The sequence below is a fragment of the Homo sapiens genome, chromosome 1, assembly GCF_000001405.40.
Source record: "Homo sapiens chromosome 1, GRCh38.p14 Primary Assembly".
Classification (NCBI taxonomy): domain Eukaryota; kingdom Metazoa; phylum Chordata; class Mammalia; order Primates; family Hominidae; genus Homo; species Homo sapiens.
Window position 1 is genome coordinate 38,259,961 of NC_000001.11, and position 15,853 is coordinate 38,275,813.

The 15,853-nt window shown below is 50.6% G+C and overlaps 4 annotated features.

Annotated features, from left to right (window-relative positions):
* Positions 2,553 to 6,884: an enhancer, noted in NCBI's record as "VISTA enhancer hs2088". NCBI's record gives its function as "enhancer in: ear[3/7]" and the evidence as "EXISTENCE:transgenic organism evidence [ECO:0001131][PMID:17130149]".
* Positions 6,237 to 6,531: an enhancer, noted in NCBI's record as "tiled region #2971; HepG2 Activating DNase matched - State 8:EnhW". NCBI's record gives its function as "activates a minimal TATA promoter and a strong SV40 promoter by Sharpr-MPRA in HepG2 cells {active_cell/tissue: HepG2}" and the evidence as "EXISTENCE:reporter gene assay evidence [ECO:0000049][PMID:27701403]".
* Positions 10,419 to 11,016: an enhancer, noted in NCBI's record as "NANOG-H3K27ac-H3K4me1 hESC enhancer chr1:38736051-38736648 (GRCh37/hg19 assembly coordinates)". NCBI's record gives its function as "activates a minimal SCP1, AML or CMV promoter by ChIP-STARR-seq in naive H9 embryonic stem cells {active_cell/tissue: H9 hESC(naive)}" and the evidence as "EXISTENCE:reporter gene assay evidence [ECO:0000049][PMID:30033119]".
* Positions 11,267 to 11,444: a silencer, noted in NCBI's record as "fragment chr1:38736899-38737076 (GRCh37/hg19 assembly coordinates)". NCBI's record gives its function as "represses an EF-1alpha promoter that drives an FKBP-Casp9 reporter gene in an ReSE screen in phorbol 12-myristate 13-acetate-treated (for megakaryocytic differentiation) K562 erythroleukemia cells {active_cell/tissue: K562(+PMA)}" and the evidence as "EXISTENCE:reporter gene assay evidence [ECO:0000049][PMID:32094911]".

The following is a 15,853-nucleotide window of genomic DNA, read 5'->3' on the forward strand; positions in this document are numbered from 1 at the left end:
CTGGTGCCAGGCCAACAGACCTGGCATCTAGCTTTGTCCCTGCCACTGCCCACCATGTGACCTTGGACACAATGCCTCTTTCCTCTGCATCTCAGATTCCTTATCTGGAAACGACAGAGCAGCTGGAAGTCACTGCTTCAGACACCAGGAAAATTCAAACTATCAGGATGTATTCTCCCTCAAGCCTGCCTAAGAGCAGATGAAAGCCAAGTCAAAGGCTTAGGAGAGTTTTTTGGTGAAATACTGTGAATAAGAAACATTCTGTCCATTGGTTTGGTGCTTTCTGTGGCTTGGGAGATGTGGCCACTGTTGCACTCTAGTAGGTTGTGGGGCATCTGTGCTTAGCAGAACTTTATCTTGGGCTCTACTCATGAACAGGCTTGGGGCCAAACACTGAAACAGTGCCTGGGCAGATCTGGGTTCCACTCCAAGCTTGGTCAACTAATCTTTTGGGACTTCAGCTTCCTTATCTTTGCAACCTATGGAATTCAGACTTAACCTTGTTTATCTTTTCCTTCCTCCCTCTCCTCCTCTCCCTTTCCCTTCCCCTCCTTTTCCCTTCTTTCCCTCTACTCCTTTTCTCTCCCCTTCTTCCCCTCTCTTCTCCTCTCTTTTCCCTCCCTCTCTTTCCTTTGTCATTTTTCCCTCCTTCCCCCCTTTTTTTCTAGCTGCCAAACCCAATTTTCAAGAGTCATCTTACACAGGTGCCTAATATATGAAATAAAGATGGAGCTCTTCTGCTTGAAATGTGGTGGAGTTCCCAGAGTCTACCTCCGCAGCTTCCCTCTAAGGTTTCTCTACAGACCCACAAGGCTCCTCAGAGCATGGCTGACCCCTCATGAGATGGCTCTGTCCTTCCCTTGAGGTCTCATCTCCTGCTGTCTCCTCTTGCCCTCCTCCTCCCTAACACTGGCCAACCTGCCATTTCCCAACTGTGCTAAGTCCTGTCACTCTTCTCTGCCTTTGCTGGAGCTGTGCCCTCTTCCTGGGATGCTCTTGCCTTTTTCTGTGACTGGAAGACTCCAGCTAATCCCTTAAAGCTGACTTCTCAGGAAGCCTCACCTGAGAGCCCTATGCAGAACAAATCTCTCACCCATATTGGCCCCTGCAGGACTTTATTAACCAACTGGCAATAGATAGCTCAGAGGGTATTTTAGCTAATGAGTCACATGTCTTTCTTCTTGGACAAACTACAAATGCCTTATGGGCAACTGATTGAGCTTTATGCCCCAGGACTTGGCATTAACAGCACCTGCTGGGAGGTGCCCACACAACATAGGACCTGGTGCACCTCGGAAGCCCTGCCATTCTGGGATCTGGCACACAGTCGGTGTCTACCTAGCATAGGTGCTGGTGTATGCAGGTGACACCCAGCCTAGGGCATGGCACAGAAGAGGAACTCATGGGACTTGGCACACAGTGGGAGCTTGCCCAGAGCAGGTTCTGGCTCTTGGATGCTCAGGAAATGTTTGCTGAAAGGAAATTCAGTGGAATGGAAGCCCAGTTCTGGGAGAGCAGCTGGCTTCTCCCCAGTCAGAGTAGGCGGTATTTTCCCTCCCTTCACCCCTGGTGGAAAAAGCAAATGTGATCTCCTCTCAAAGCCAGGAGCAGACAGGGCTGCAGGTTGGGGGTGATGGGAGAGGTCTCTGAGGTAATGAGCAGATACTGTTTCCTTATCACCATCGGCATGTTCTCAAGCTATTACTCCCGTCACCCTCCATTTGGACTTTTTCTGATAAACACCAATATCTGCAAATTCTTGAGGCTGACTGCCTCCCCAACCCAGGGGCTGCTCTGCTGGAACTCCAGATGTGTGATAAGGCAGGGAAATACATTTTCAGTCCACTAAGTCATCACATTTTCTGACAAGGATGCTCAGGCGCGTGTAGATCTCTGATGACTAATATTGCCTTCACTCAGCAGAGGGCTTCAGAAACCATCCAAACCATCACCAGGCTGTCAGGTGTCAGCTCTTCCCCTGGCTTTGCATATTGAGAGGCCCTCTGAGGAGCTCGAAGTCCTGATACAGCAAGGCGGGGGGCTCCGTGTGGAGGAAGAGGGCTGGCCAGCGGTCAACAGTCCTTGCGCCCGGCCTGCTCTCTCTCCTTGGGTGCCCTTGGTTGCCCTATGAACCTCTCTGGGCCTCAACTTCCCCACCTGTCCAAGGGGGAGAGATGGATTCCATGATCTCTAGGGGACTTTCCAGGGCTGAAAGTCTGATTTTCTTACTTTTCCACCATTAGGAGCACAGGAGGGTAGAATCCCATGAAATGTAAGGGAAGGCTTAGAATTCTGGGGAAAATGTAAGAGTAGTAGCTGTATTCATAATAACAATAATAGTAACTACCCCTTCCCATAAGTTACTTCATCTCTTTAGAGCTCTAGAATTAGGCAGACCTGGATTCAAAGCCCTATTGTGTCCCCCACTAGCTGTGTGATGTTGGGCAAGTTATCTAACTTCTATGAGCTTCAGTTTCCTCCCATGAAATAGGCAGAAGCCCTGCGATTCGGGGATCTGGCAATGTAGACAGTTGGTGTCTACGTAGCATAGGTGCTGGTATATGGGGTGACACCCAGCCTAGGGCATGGCACGAAGGAAGCACTCATGGGGCTTGGCGCATAGTGGGAGCTTGCCCAGTGCAGGGCCTGGCTCTTGCGTGCTCAGGAAATGTTTGCTGAATGGAATTTCAGTGGAATGGAAGTTAAGTTAGAACACTGGGAGCAGCAATACATGTTGCCTTTTTTTTTTTTTTTTTAGACAGAATCTTGCTCTGTTGCCCAGGCTGGAGCGCAGTGGCATGATTACAGCTCACTGCAGCCTTGGCTTCCCCAGGCTCAGGCGATCCTCCCACCTTAGCCTCCCAGGAAGCTGGGACTATAGGTGCACACCACCACACCAGCTAATTTTTTGTAGAGACAGGGTTTCACCATGTTGCCCAGGCTGGCCTCCAATGCCTGGGCTCAAGCGATCCTCCTGCCTCAGGCTCCCAAAGTGCTGGGATTACAGGCGTGAGCCATCGTGCCCAGCCCATGTTACCTTTTAAAAAAATCAATGTTAATAATGATTCTTATAACACTTCTTATGAGGTCATGATTGCTCTCCTGATCTTACTGGTGAGTGAAATGAAGCATAGAGAGGTGAAGTAACTTGCCAGAAAGGGAGAGCTTGGGTTTGTCCATATTTGACCCAGTTTCATGCACTTAACCCCTGCACCCTGCACCACTGAAAGATGCACCCTCAGCTCACTCACTCTGCTCCCCTTGCTCAAGCCAGCCTCAGGCAGCCTGCATTGGTGCTTATGGAAAGGCAGATGAATGGTAGAGAGCCAGTGAGTTGGGCAGGATGATGGAGAAGCAGCCAGCCTTGGAGGGGCTCCAGACTGCTAAGGGGGTGGGTGAGCTGGGACTGAGGCATGGAAGAAGTCATCTGGTCACCACAATTTGTACTTTTCTTTTGAAAAACAGAAAGTTGAGAAGAAAATGGATTGCAGTCTGTTACAGATCCAGTGGCTGCAAATCATTCTGAAAATTAGCTTTCTATGGGAAAATCTATATACTAATTAACTCCATGGCCTCTCTAACGAGTTTAAGCACAATAAGGCCTCTGAAAATATCGAGGCATTTTGCAGCTGCCTTAAATTCTACCTAGGGAGACAGGCTCACAGCTCATGAGGCTGTTTGAGAGGTTCCAGATGAAAGGGGAATCTTAAATGATTCATTTCCAAGGGCAGAAGGTGGGCAGCTATGACTTTGGTCGATTGCATAGGGAAGCGCAGAGAGCCCCAGCCTTATCAGGATGGATGGAGTCCTTGCTCAGGGGCCTTAGTTGACATGGGAGTGTGGCCCAGTACTTCCCACTCCTCCAACCCTGAGTTCTCAGTGTGAAGACTGAGAAGCCATCACCAGGTCTAAGAGACCTTTCCCAGGAAAGGCTTCTAGGGACTTGGCCATATAAACCAAGGTGGGAATCTCCCACCAATTTATGGCTGTCCTAGTGGGACAGTCCTGCCCAGGCCAGGGGAGGTGGCAGCACATGCTTGAGTGTGATGTGGGGAGACAGCTCAGCCAGCGGGATCCCTGGGGCATGTTCTCCACCTCACCCCGATGCTCCAGTGTGCCCTCCCTGGGAGGGCACCCTCAGATGTGGGCCTTTGCCCACCACTTCTGTTAGACTCCACACTGGGCAAGGAGTAGCCTGGCATAGTGCAGCATAGCACACATATGTGCTCACCCCCATGAGTGTACACAGCCATATATATATGCGGCCACTCACCTGTATGCCTGCACCCATGTATATGTAAAGACACACACACATGAACACACACTCACACATATGTCTTCATTCACCCCTGTCCATAGCACCATTTCCAGAGGCTGGAAATACCACTCGCTGTCATTCCCCAGAAACAGACCATTAACCCACAGCCCCAGGTAATCTTAGGGGGAGACCTCAGTGTGTCATGCCTCTGCAGGGCAGGAGCCCAAGCCCCCTCTTTGCCTTCATCCCCTCCAGAAATGCACACGAGTGCCACTCACTGTCACCCTTCCTGAAGCAACAGCCTGGGCATGGTTCTGAACAGAAATTCCCACAGCGCTGCCTACGGCCCTGGTGTGCCTCTGGGTCTGGCGTGCTGCTGCCCACTGGCCTCAGCAGTAGATGCCTTGTTCAGAACAGGCCCTCAGGAAACATCTCATGGCCAACAAGCTCTCAAGAGTGACTTGTGGCTGACTAAGGAAGCAAGCGGGAGGGAGAGAAGGGAGGGGTTCACCCAGGCCTAGTGATGATGGGGGATGCCTGTGCCTCCTCCATTGTTCTTGCTCTGGTTCTCTCATCATTGTAATGGCTACTTTAAAAAAAAATGTTGACCATGTGCCTGGACACTGCATGAAGTATTCTGCACTACTGTCCCTCCCACTCCTATTTCCCAGTGAGGAGACTAGGGCCCAGAGAAAGGAAGTCTCTTCACTTAGAGACCTGCGTGAGGCCCCGCCCCAGTGAGTAGTAGGGCCAGGACGTGGATGGAGCACACTTGATTCCAAAGCCTGCTCTTTATGTTCAATTGCCTTCTGGGGTTCTGGTTAAGATGTGGGAGACTCCTCTCCAGGCATGAGTGGGTGTATCTAAAATGGAGGGTCCTTTGCATGGTTCCCTTCTGAAGGCTGTGAAATAGGCAAAACCTGCAGCTTGATTGTGGGGGAGACCTGGATTTGAATCCCAGCTGCCATTTACCGGCTGGGTACCCAGGGGTCATGGCTAAATCCAACGGCCAGCTCCTATCTTGCTAGGTCTTACCCACAGCACTGCACATAGTGAGCCACTTCCTCTGCCTTCTAGAAACGTTTTCTTCCACTTGGCTTCCTGGATGCTGTAGTTTTCTGGCTTTTATCCCACCTCCCTGGCTATGCCTTCTGGGTCTTCTTTACTGATTCATCTTCTCTTCAGCCTCTTACCCACGGGGTGGCCACAGTCCCAGCTCCTCCTTGAGTCTCTAATTACCCTCACTGCTCCGTAATTGCATCCAGTCTTGTGGCTTTACATACCACCTTGGGCTCATGACTTGCAAATGTATATCTCCGTCCTGGTAGTCTCCCCTAACCCCAGACTTACAGATCTCACTGCCCCTCAACGTCTCCACTTAGATATCTAACAGCCGCCTGAAATGAACATGTCCTTCCAGTTGCCCAGGCCAAGAAGATTTGGGGACCTCCTGACCCCTCTCTTTCTCTCATCTGCCACATCCAATCAATCAGGAAGCCTTGGTGGCTCCTCCTTCCTGATATCTTCAGGATCTGACCACTTCTCACCATGTCTGCTGCCTGGAACACCCTCCCCCTACATATCACGAGGTGCATCTTGGTCCAAGCCACTGTCGTCTCTCACCTAGTTATTGCAACAGCATTCTTAACTGATGGTGTTTCTTCCACCCTTGCCCCCGACAGTGTATTTCAACCAACAGCCAGAGAGAGCCTGTAAAAGACGACTCACATCGTGACTCTCCTGTGCTGAAAACCTTGCGGTGGCTCCTCTGCTTCACTCAGAGTAACAGCCCAAGTCTGCAATGGCTGTGGAGGCTTCCATGGTCACTCCACCCACCCCGGGATTGGTATCCCCCCTTGATCTCCCCAACACCTCTCTAGGGACTCTCCCCCTTGTTCACCACCCCGGTCCCAGGGCCTTGGCACTCCTTGCTCCATTGCCTAGAATGCTCTTCCCCGGGTATCCATGGGGCCTGCATGCTTACCTCCACCACGTCACCTTTCCAGTGAGGTCCACCCTGATCCTTGGACTTCAAATGCCCCTCCCCCACCCCACGACAGGCATTCCCTTCCTGGTCTCCTTACCTTGTGTGTGTACACACTCTGTATGAATCACCTCCAACTTGTTTGTTTTTTGTATTGATTATTGTTTTATGGTCCCTCACCTCCAGCTAGGATGCCTGCGCCATAGGAATAGAGGCCTGTCTGTTTCCTTCTTTGATATCCCCAAGGCCTGCCGCAGTACCTGTACACAGTGGATATCGTCACATATTTGCTGAATGGTTCTTATTTCTTAACCTCTATGACCTTGGTTTCTTCATCTGTAAAAGTGGGTTATTTTGAGGATTAAATAATGAATCTTGTTATCCCACTCTAGTGCCAGCACATGTAGGTTTCGATGCTGTCTACTCCCTTTCTGCAGTGGCTTTTAGAGATCCTGGCCTCATTTCAGATGCTGCTGATGTTGTAGCACCTTTGGCTCCCTATGGGAAAGGGGATGGTGTCGGGAGGAAAGAGAGTATGTGGGGCCTCCACATCCCTCCTCTGGAACCTCACCCTTGCCCATCATAGGCCCAGTGGGAAGCCTCTCCAGGGAGTATTTGTTTTCTGGGTCCCTTTAGCCATAAACATAGCTTTAGACTGGGGAGTGAGGAAGCTCAGGTCCGTGCCTGCCCTGATGATTCCTGGAGAGAAAAAACTGTGATGATAGGGAAAGCCATAGACTAAAACAAGAAATTTGCTTTATAAACAGTGAAACAGATGATTTTAACAGTTAGTAAGGAAGAATTAGGAAAGGGCAATTTTATATATGCGTGTGTGTATATGTATATGTATGTGTGTGTGTATATATATATATATATAAACATACACAGTTACTCTTATCCAAAAGCTTGCAAGTGCACCGCTGATGTGATGTTTTCCTAATGAAGGCGTGCATACTGACAGTGTTGTTCTTCTTTGAGGGTACTTTATTGTTGTAACACAGCAAGTTTCAATAAACCTTTCCCCTCTAAATTGCAACATATGCAAAAAAGCACCAAAACAGAAGTCATAGTTCTATTTGCTCTATGAGGGTATAAAAGTTACTCTTTTTCCATCAAGATGGAAAGTAAAAACAAAGAAAAACTGCAAAACTGTGAGTGGCTGAATGGGAGTCACCCATGAACTAGAATAGAAACCATGAACAGTGACAAATGTGCCTGGCTCTTCCCTCCCTCTCCATGAAAAAATAATTTAGTCGAGTTATGACTATATCCTGAGCTGATGGCATGCAGACCTCCACAGCAGGAGATGGCTACAATTCACTGCTTGTGTTTCCCTTCCCTTCCCTTCTGTTCTCTCCTCCCTCCCTCCTTTCTTTCCTTCCTTCCTTCCTTCCATCCATCCTTCCTTCCTTCCTTCCTTAGTTCCTTCTTCCCTCCGTCTCTCCTTCCCTCCCTCCTCCTGTCTTCCTCCCTCCCTCTTTCCTCCCTCCTCTCTCTTCCCTTCCCTGTCTCCCTCCCTCCTTCCCTCTCTCTGCCTCTCTCCGCCTCTCTCCCTCCCTCCCTACTTCTCTCTTCCTCTTTCCTCCATCTGCCTCCCCGCCTCCTTCCCTTCCTCCCTCCATCCCTTCTTCCCCTTCTCTGCCTCTCTCCTTCCCTCTCTGCATCCCTCTCTCCTTCTCTCCCTTCCTCCCTCCCTCCTTCTCTCTCTTCCTCTCTCCCTCCCTCTCTCGCTCCCTCCCTCCCTTCCTCCCTTCCTTCTTCCCCCTCTCTGCCTCTCTCCTTCCCTCCCTCCTTCTTTCTCTTCCTCCCTCCCTCCTTCTCTCTCTTTCTTCCTCCCTCCCTCCCTCCCTCTCTCTCCTTCAAATATATTTGAATGCTCTTGATGTATACTTTGAAATATATTTGAATGCTTGTGACAAAACATGAGCAACATGAGATCTCTGCTGTCAAAGAGTATTAGTCTTGTAGAAGGGACGTGTGTGAACTGACAACTATATCCTATAATAGATGTTTGGGCAAAGTACTATGAGAACCCAGAGGAAAGGGCATCTGGAAGGCTTCACGGAGGAGGTGGCATCCTAGCTGGGGCTGGAGGGATAAGTGGTTGGAGGCGTGTGGGAAGCTTTCTAGGAAAAAAGCAAAGCAGGCACTCTGGCCTGGGGGCTAGGCTGGTGCCTGTGGTTCTGTGTGCTGCTGGGGGCGGGGTCAGGTGGGAGGTGAACCTGAAGAGGTGGCATGCTGATGGGGACAGCCCTGCCTTTGCCTCAGGAAGCTCTGGTCTGTTTGGGTTCCCTGTGGTGGCTTCTCTGTGACTCAAATGAAGCCATTGAGGTGGAGGGAGCCCTCCTCTTTGCAGGCATTGGTGTAGGATTTGAAGGACACTAGCCGTGGCTCCAGGGCCTTTTCTGTCCCTGAGCCAGAGAGAGGTGAGCTGGGGTCCACCCCCCACCACCCCCCTGCACCGCCCCTGCTGGGATTTTCCTACCTTGGGGCTGCTGTACACCCATGGTAGGTGCTCAGGACTTTCGGGCCACATGAGAACACTGTCTGGGCTTCTTGACATAGAAAGTCTCCTTTAGCAGTAGTCTCCTGAGAATTCCAAAGGCTTCATCAAGCACAGGCTGGGCTGGCAGCTTCCACAGTGACGGAGCTAGGCCATCTTATTAGACCCTGATCCTCAGTGAGTAAAGGCTTGCCTGCCTACTGGGGCCTCCTTCCAAGCCCAATCCACAGAAGGGCTCAGAGGCTTCTGGAGCTGGTTCCCAAACTTGCACACTCCCAGCCACTCCTCTGTAGTGGAGGGCCCTGAACGTCCAGGCTCCCTTCTCCTGAGGCCTGGTCCTGAGCTCTGGGAAGTTGCAGCCAGGGTACAGAGTGCAGCTCAAAACTATAAATGTTAAACATCTTTAAAAAGTCATGAAGCCCCAGCCATAATCCAGAACAAGTCCCTTAAAAGTCCTGGGAATCATATGATGGAGAGTGACTTTCTCCTTTGCTGGGTGGAGAGGGCATGTGTGACCAGTGAGACTCATGGCCATGGCAACAAGAGCTGAGGAGTCCAGCAGGCTCAGGATCGAGGGCCGGAAGAAGACCAAGGTGGAGGTTAACACTCACCAAGCACTGGTTGATGGTGGCTGTGAGCTGCAGAAGTTCAAGGGCATCTGTCTTTTTACCATTGCCCAGTACAGAGCCACGTGCACGGTACTTGGGTGAATATTTGTTGAGTGGATGAATGTATGCATGGATGATTTAGTAACCTTTCCTCCAGCTCCTCCAGTAAGCCTCTGTTTCCACTCAGGACCTCCATCTCAACCCTGTCTGCTTCTCTTCACTTGCATCTGGTATGTCCTTTCCAGGAAGCCAGGCTCAGGGTCCATTCTTCTTTCTCACCTCCTCGTCCAAGGCTGATATTAAACTCACTCATGCCCAGAACATGCCTCTGACCTATTTCCTATTGCAGGCAGCGCACATTTATTAAGTTTCTTTTTTCTTTCTTTCTTTTTTTTTTTTTTCTGAAACAGAGTCTCACCCAGGCTGGAGTGCAGTGGCACCATCTCGGCTCTCTGCAAGCTCTGCCTCCCAGGTTCACGCCATTCGCCAGCCTCAGCCTCCCGAGTAGCTGGGACTACAGGCGCCCACCACCATGCCCTGCTAATTTTTTTGTATTTTTAGTATAGACGGGATTTCACTGTGTTAGCCAGGATGGTCTCGATTTCCTGACCTCGTGATCCACCCACCTCAGCCGCCCAAAGGGCTGGGATTACAGGCGTGAGCCACTGCACCCAGCTTACTAAAGTTTCTTATGTGATTTCCCCAATTTTTCCTTTTTGAGCAAACACACTTGAGAGATCTCAGATTCTCCTTCTGTATCAGAGTGCAGCATTCCTGGCAGGTTGGAGACTCTCCAAGAAGCCGAAATGCAGTCCGACAGTGAGGAGAACCAGCTTGTGGTGTAATGTTTGTCCCAACATGGAGAGAAAGTGACTTGTCCCGAGCCGCATAACCAGTAAGCAGTGACTGCCTAACAATGGATCTAACGTGGCGGCAAGAGAAAGTGGCAATCAGTTGCCTAAATTTGGGTTCTGGTTCCAGCAGTTCAGTTCTCAGGGCCTCAATTTCCTTATTTGTAAAATGGACATCATATTTCCCACCTCAAAGAGTTGATTGCAGTAACTCACGGAATCCTCACGAAAGTGTGCCTTACCCCAACCCACAGAGTTGGCTCCTGCCCAGTGGGGGCAAGTGTGAACAGCCCCTTCTGACTCAAGTCCATCTTCTTATGAAATTTGTAATCAGGAACTTGCTATTCCAACCCCTCTGCCTGGCAGTCCCCCTGAGAAACAACTCCCAGCGTAGACAATGGGCAAAACAAAGGGCAGGAAGGAAAGGAAGTGGTCTGTCAGCACCTGGGGCTGCTGTGGAGCGCAGACCCACCTGAGCTCTGCAGGTAGGCAATCCTGGCTGGGATTCTGCAGACAGGCCTGGAGCAGAGCCCCCCCCAACCCCTTCCCGGCGGCAGCAGCAGCAGCAATAGCAGCAGCAACCCTCCTTTTTTAAGTCAAATGTTGCCTGGAAGTCATTGCTTCAGCAATTACCTCTGAAACCCATTGTTTCCTCAGCCCCATTAACATGTCAGATCCTGGCAGCCGCTGACGGGGCAAACACCCCTCGGAGGGCTGCAATTCAATTTAAGGATCACCTCCCCTGCACAGACAGCCTCTGAGCCGGCCCATCTCCAGATTTCACCAAATCGAGGAGAGAGTCTCAGGGTGCAGTTTGATCATGCTGCTTCCTAAATTAAAAACAAAATTGTAAGTGTTAAACATCTTTAACAAGTCATTAAGCCCCAGCCATAATCCAGAAAAAGTCCCTTAATGAGTAATGACATATGTTGTGAGCGCACTTATCTCCTAATGTTGGATGCTGAGATGGTGTGATGAAATGGCACAGTGCTCAGAAGGGATGGATCACCACTAATGGCAGGATAATTCGAGGCTGTTGGGCTGAGGACCCTGGAGAGCCAGGTTGTCTCTCCTGGATGGCGTGCGGCGGTCCTCAGTCTCCCCTCCTGCCCTGGCTCCAGAGCCCCATCCCCACACCTGAGGCTGCTCTGCCCTCACTCCCAGGCTCAGCTCTGCTCCTGGCTCTGCCCCAGGATGGGTCCTGTAAGAATCCAGAGGTTGGGCACCAGGACCTTTGCATGGTCTCATGGCTGTGGGTCTGCCCAAGCGCCTCTGTGTCCCCACCCAAGTCACTGGGCTTTTGAACAAGCCAGGCATTTCTCCCAGTCCTATCCCAGGGCTGTCCCCCCGGCCTCCCTGTCTGCTGCCCATCCCTCCCACTCAGGCCCAGGATCCTGCCCACATGCCCCTGACCACATATTTAGGCCCCTACCTGCTGCCTGAGCCTCCACCCACTTTCTGCTGAGAACCCCCTGCTCCAGTGCTCTGGCCCCTGGCTGACCACCTCTGTAGCCCTGTCTGATGTTTATTTGCCCACGTTATAGTTCCAGACACGTGAGGAGACTAATTAGCTGCCCTTTACCTCCAGGTCCCAATTCTCAGGAAAGAGAACATGATTGGCTGAGCCTGGGTAATGTGACTGCCCTTAAGGTCACTGGGTACGGCTCACCCATGGGGTGATGAACAGCTGCCGGAGGATAGGGCTTACTTTTTTCTACTCGGACTTCAGTAATTTCAGCCCCACACATTCCACCCACGCACCAAAGTCTTCCTCCTTCCCAGGGCTGGCTTCTGTGCTACTCTCTCCCTGCTCTGCTATAGCGTTAGGATGCCCTTCCCAACTAAGCTCCTTGAGACAGTCTTTTTTTTTTTTTTTTTTTTTTTTTTTGAGATGGAGTCTCGCTGTCGCCCAGGCTGCAGTGGCACCATCTTGGCTCACTACAACATCTGCCTCCTGGGTTCAAGCGATTCTCCTACCTCAGCCTTCTGAGGAGCTGGGATTACAGGCGTGTGCCATCACGCCTGGCTAATTTTTGTATTTTTAGTAGAGACGAGGTTTCACCATGTTGGTCAGGCTGGTCTTGAACTTCTGACCTCATGATCCTCCCACCTTGGCCTCCCAAAGTGCTGGGATTACAGGTGTGGGGAAGCCCCCTGGCTGAGACAAGCCTTAAGTCAGGGTATCCCAAAGCAGACCCTGAGACAGAGTGCTCCAGGGGAAGCCAGTAAGGAAAAGACAGACACAGAGCAAGGAAGAAGAGGAAGCCAAGGAGAGCGGAATTTCAGACAAAATCCACAGAGAGGAGCTTCAGTCTGATCCTGCAGGGGAGCTCTGGAGTGGAAGTTATGGCCCTGAATCGTACCTGAGGCAAGCTGCAGGTGCGAGGAGTTAGAAGAAAAGCACCCCCCACCTCACAGTTTCTTCATTCATTCATTCATATATTCAGCATATGTTAATTGTCACATTCTGTTATTTACTGTCTGCCAAACAGTACAGATAGGTAGCTTGCGCTGGGGGCTGCCTGAGAGCTGGGAGAACTGGTTGCCAGAGCTGGGAGAACTGGTTGCCAGGTCTAGCCTGATGAAAGATGGTTGTGTGGCCTAGGAGAATTCCTGCCTGTCTCAGGATGTCTATCTGACTACTGAATGGAAGGGGGCTAGGATACTTTCAAGAGAACACATTGTTGATTCTCTGGATTGAAGAAAGGGGCTGTATTCTTTAGCCTCTGCATCCTTTTTCATGTATCTACCTCAGGAAAAGGGGACACCCTCGTGCCCTGTGCTGGGAACTTTATACATTTTATTACTTTGAAAACACAACCTCCCAGTGGCACAGATACTTTTATTAGCATCATTCTATAAGATGAGGAAACTGAGGCACAGAGAGGTTCAAAAAATGATTTGGCTAAGGTCACTCCAAGTGGTGGAGTCAGGATATGATCTCAGAGCCAGTGGGCTGTTGACTGTAAGGGAAGAAGCATGGAGAATCCCCTCCCTACCCTTTTATCTATCAATCATATCTATCTATATCCCCCAAAACTTAGCTGATACTAACAATTTAAGGATCCCCAATCCCAAAGCATTTAGATTTTAAGACAAATAAAACAGTTGGAATCCTGGTCCCATGGAATTTCAGAGTTGGGAGAAAGTGAAGAGATTTCCTGGCTAACCCCTGCAGTTAACAGATGGCAAAAAGAAGTACAGAGAATTGTCTGAAGTCCCAGAGCAAGGGAGTGGAAGCGCGGCCACAACGAGGCATGCATAAGATTCTGCAGAAACCACGTTCTCCCGCTTCACAGCGGTCTGCTCTTTTCAGGAGAGCCTGGGAAAACTTCTGACTGTGCAATTTGCTTAAAAACAACAGAGAAACATCATAGAAGAGGATCAATTCCTGACCATGCATTTGAAATTAGACACTTACAGGCATTCCCTGCAGAGTGCTCTCCACTGGGGCCCAGTGGAAGCAGCATCACCCATCAGCCGCTGGGGGTGGCTGGTGCCACCAGGTCAGGCCTGGAGCGGGGCAGGAGTCTCCTCAGGCTCGATGCTCTTGACCTGCTGCTGGTGCCAAGAGTTAGAAGCAAAGCACCCACCACCTCACAGTTTCCTCATTCATTAATTCATTCATTCATGTATTCAACATATGTTAATTGTCACTTTCTGTTATTTACTGGCTGCCAAACAGTACAGATAGATAGCTTGGGCTGGGGGCCGCCCTGAGAGCTGGAAGAATTGATTCTGCCAAGACTGTTGCTCTTGTACTCCATCTGTGGATCTTATCCCTCCATCCATCCTCTGTTCTAAGTTTGACTCATATCTTTGATGCTTCTGCCTCAGTGACTGTTTTGCACCTAAGAACTTCTTGGCTATCCTGCTCTAGGGATCACTACTAGCTAACTCTGATGATCTTCCAAAGCTCAGCCTGTGCTTGATGCTTGGAGGTCATCATCCAGCTACAAACCCAGACTGTGTGCCTCTCAGGGACCCTTGGTGTCAGGATGGGAGTCCAGGAGCCACCTGGCTGCTGTTACAGTTAAAGGAAGGGCATGTAAGGCTGAATCACAGGCTTCTGTGCATAGCAGGTGTATTAGTCTGTTTTCATGCTGCTGATAAAGACATACCTGAGACTAGGCAATTTACAAAAGAAAGGTTTAATTGGACTTACAGTTCCATGTCGCTGGGGAGGCCTCACAACCATGGCAGAAGGCTAGGAAGGAGGAACAAGTCATGTCTTACATGGATGGCAGCAGGCAAAGAGAGAACTTGTGCAGGGGGACTCCTCTTTTTAAAACCATCACATCTCATGAGACTTACTCACTATCATGAGAACAGCAGGGGAAAGACTTGCTCCCATGATTCAATTACCTCCCACCGGGTCCCTCCCACAACACATGGGAATTCAAGATGAGATTTGGGTGGGGACAGAGCCAAACCATACCAGCAGGAGGTGGTGAGGAGCTGGGGCTGGGGGCTGCCCTGAGAGCTGGGAGAATCCGTTGCCAGGTCTAGTCTGGTGAAAATCGGCTGTGTGACCTAGATCTCCTGCCTGTCTCAGGTTGTCTATCTGAATAGTGAACAGAAGGGGCTGGGATACTTTCAAGCAAACACATCTTTGATTCTCTGAACTGGGGAAAGAGGCCACATTCTATAGCCTCTGCATTCTTTTTTATGTATCTACCTTAGGAAAGGGGGACATCACTGTGTCCTGGATGGAAAATGCTACTCAGAGGTCTGCCGTAGGACAGAGCAGAGAACTGGAAATATGTCTTTCCTGGCTCCTGCGCATCCAAAGTGGCTAGGATGGGGTGGGCTTTTCTTAGCTGTTGGTGCTCACACCATGCTGGGCACAGGGTTTGTCAGATACCATGGAGCATCCTCCTGGCCTCTGCCCAACAGCAGCTGCTCCCCCACCCTGGGACCCAAAGAGGGACAAGAAAACCCTCTTTATCTGGACAGACAGTACAAAGCCCCGTTGCCATAGCAGCAACAACCATTTCCTCCAGCTCTGATCCGGGGCAGAAGCTCAGCTGGGCCTGGGCCCAGGCCCGGAGAGGCCAGGAGCAGAGGTCAACCTTGGATGTGGGAGGTCTGAGTCACTGAAGCCCCAGCAATGCACCAACAGAGGAACAGAAGCTGGCAGTCACCAAGGCTGCCTTCCTTGTCATCATTCAAAGCCGGGCTGGGGGGCAGCCAGGGGCTATGGACTGGGCCAGGGCTTGGGACCCCAGTGGCTGAAGCAGGGCTGCCCAGATGTTTAAACCTTTCATAACCTGGATGGCACAGGAGTCTGGCCTTGCAGGGGGTTATGGAGCCCTGGAGGAACTGGTGGGGAGGAAGGAGCCAAATTACCTGAGCAGGCCCTGAAATATTAGTGGTGCCAAAGAGTTTAGAAACTCCTAAATTTGTGAAAAGGAGGAGCCCAACAGCATCTCCCTGCCAGCTGGTCTCTCTCCTTTATCTGTTGAGCCCTACGGGGAATGGGACGTGGCGGAGGAAGGTTGGAAGGACTAAGGGTGATTTCCAGGGCTTCCAGGAACTGAAATGGGCTTAATGGAAGGGTCAAGACTCAGCACCTGGCTTTTCCCCATCAGGGAACAGAGGTGCTCCAGGCTGTGAAGTCACGGATGGAATTCAGTCTTACTTCTGCCA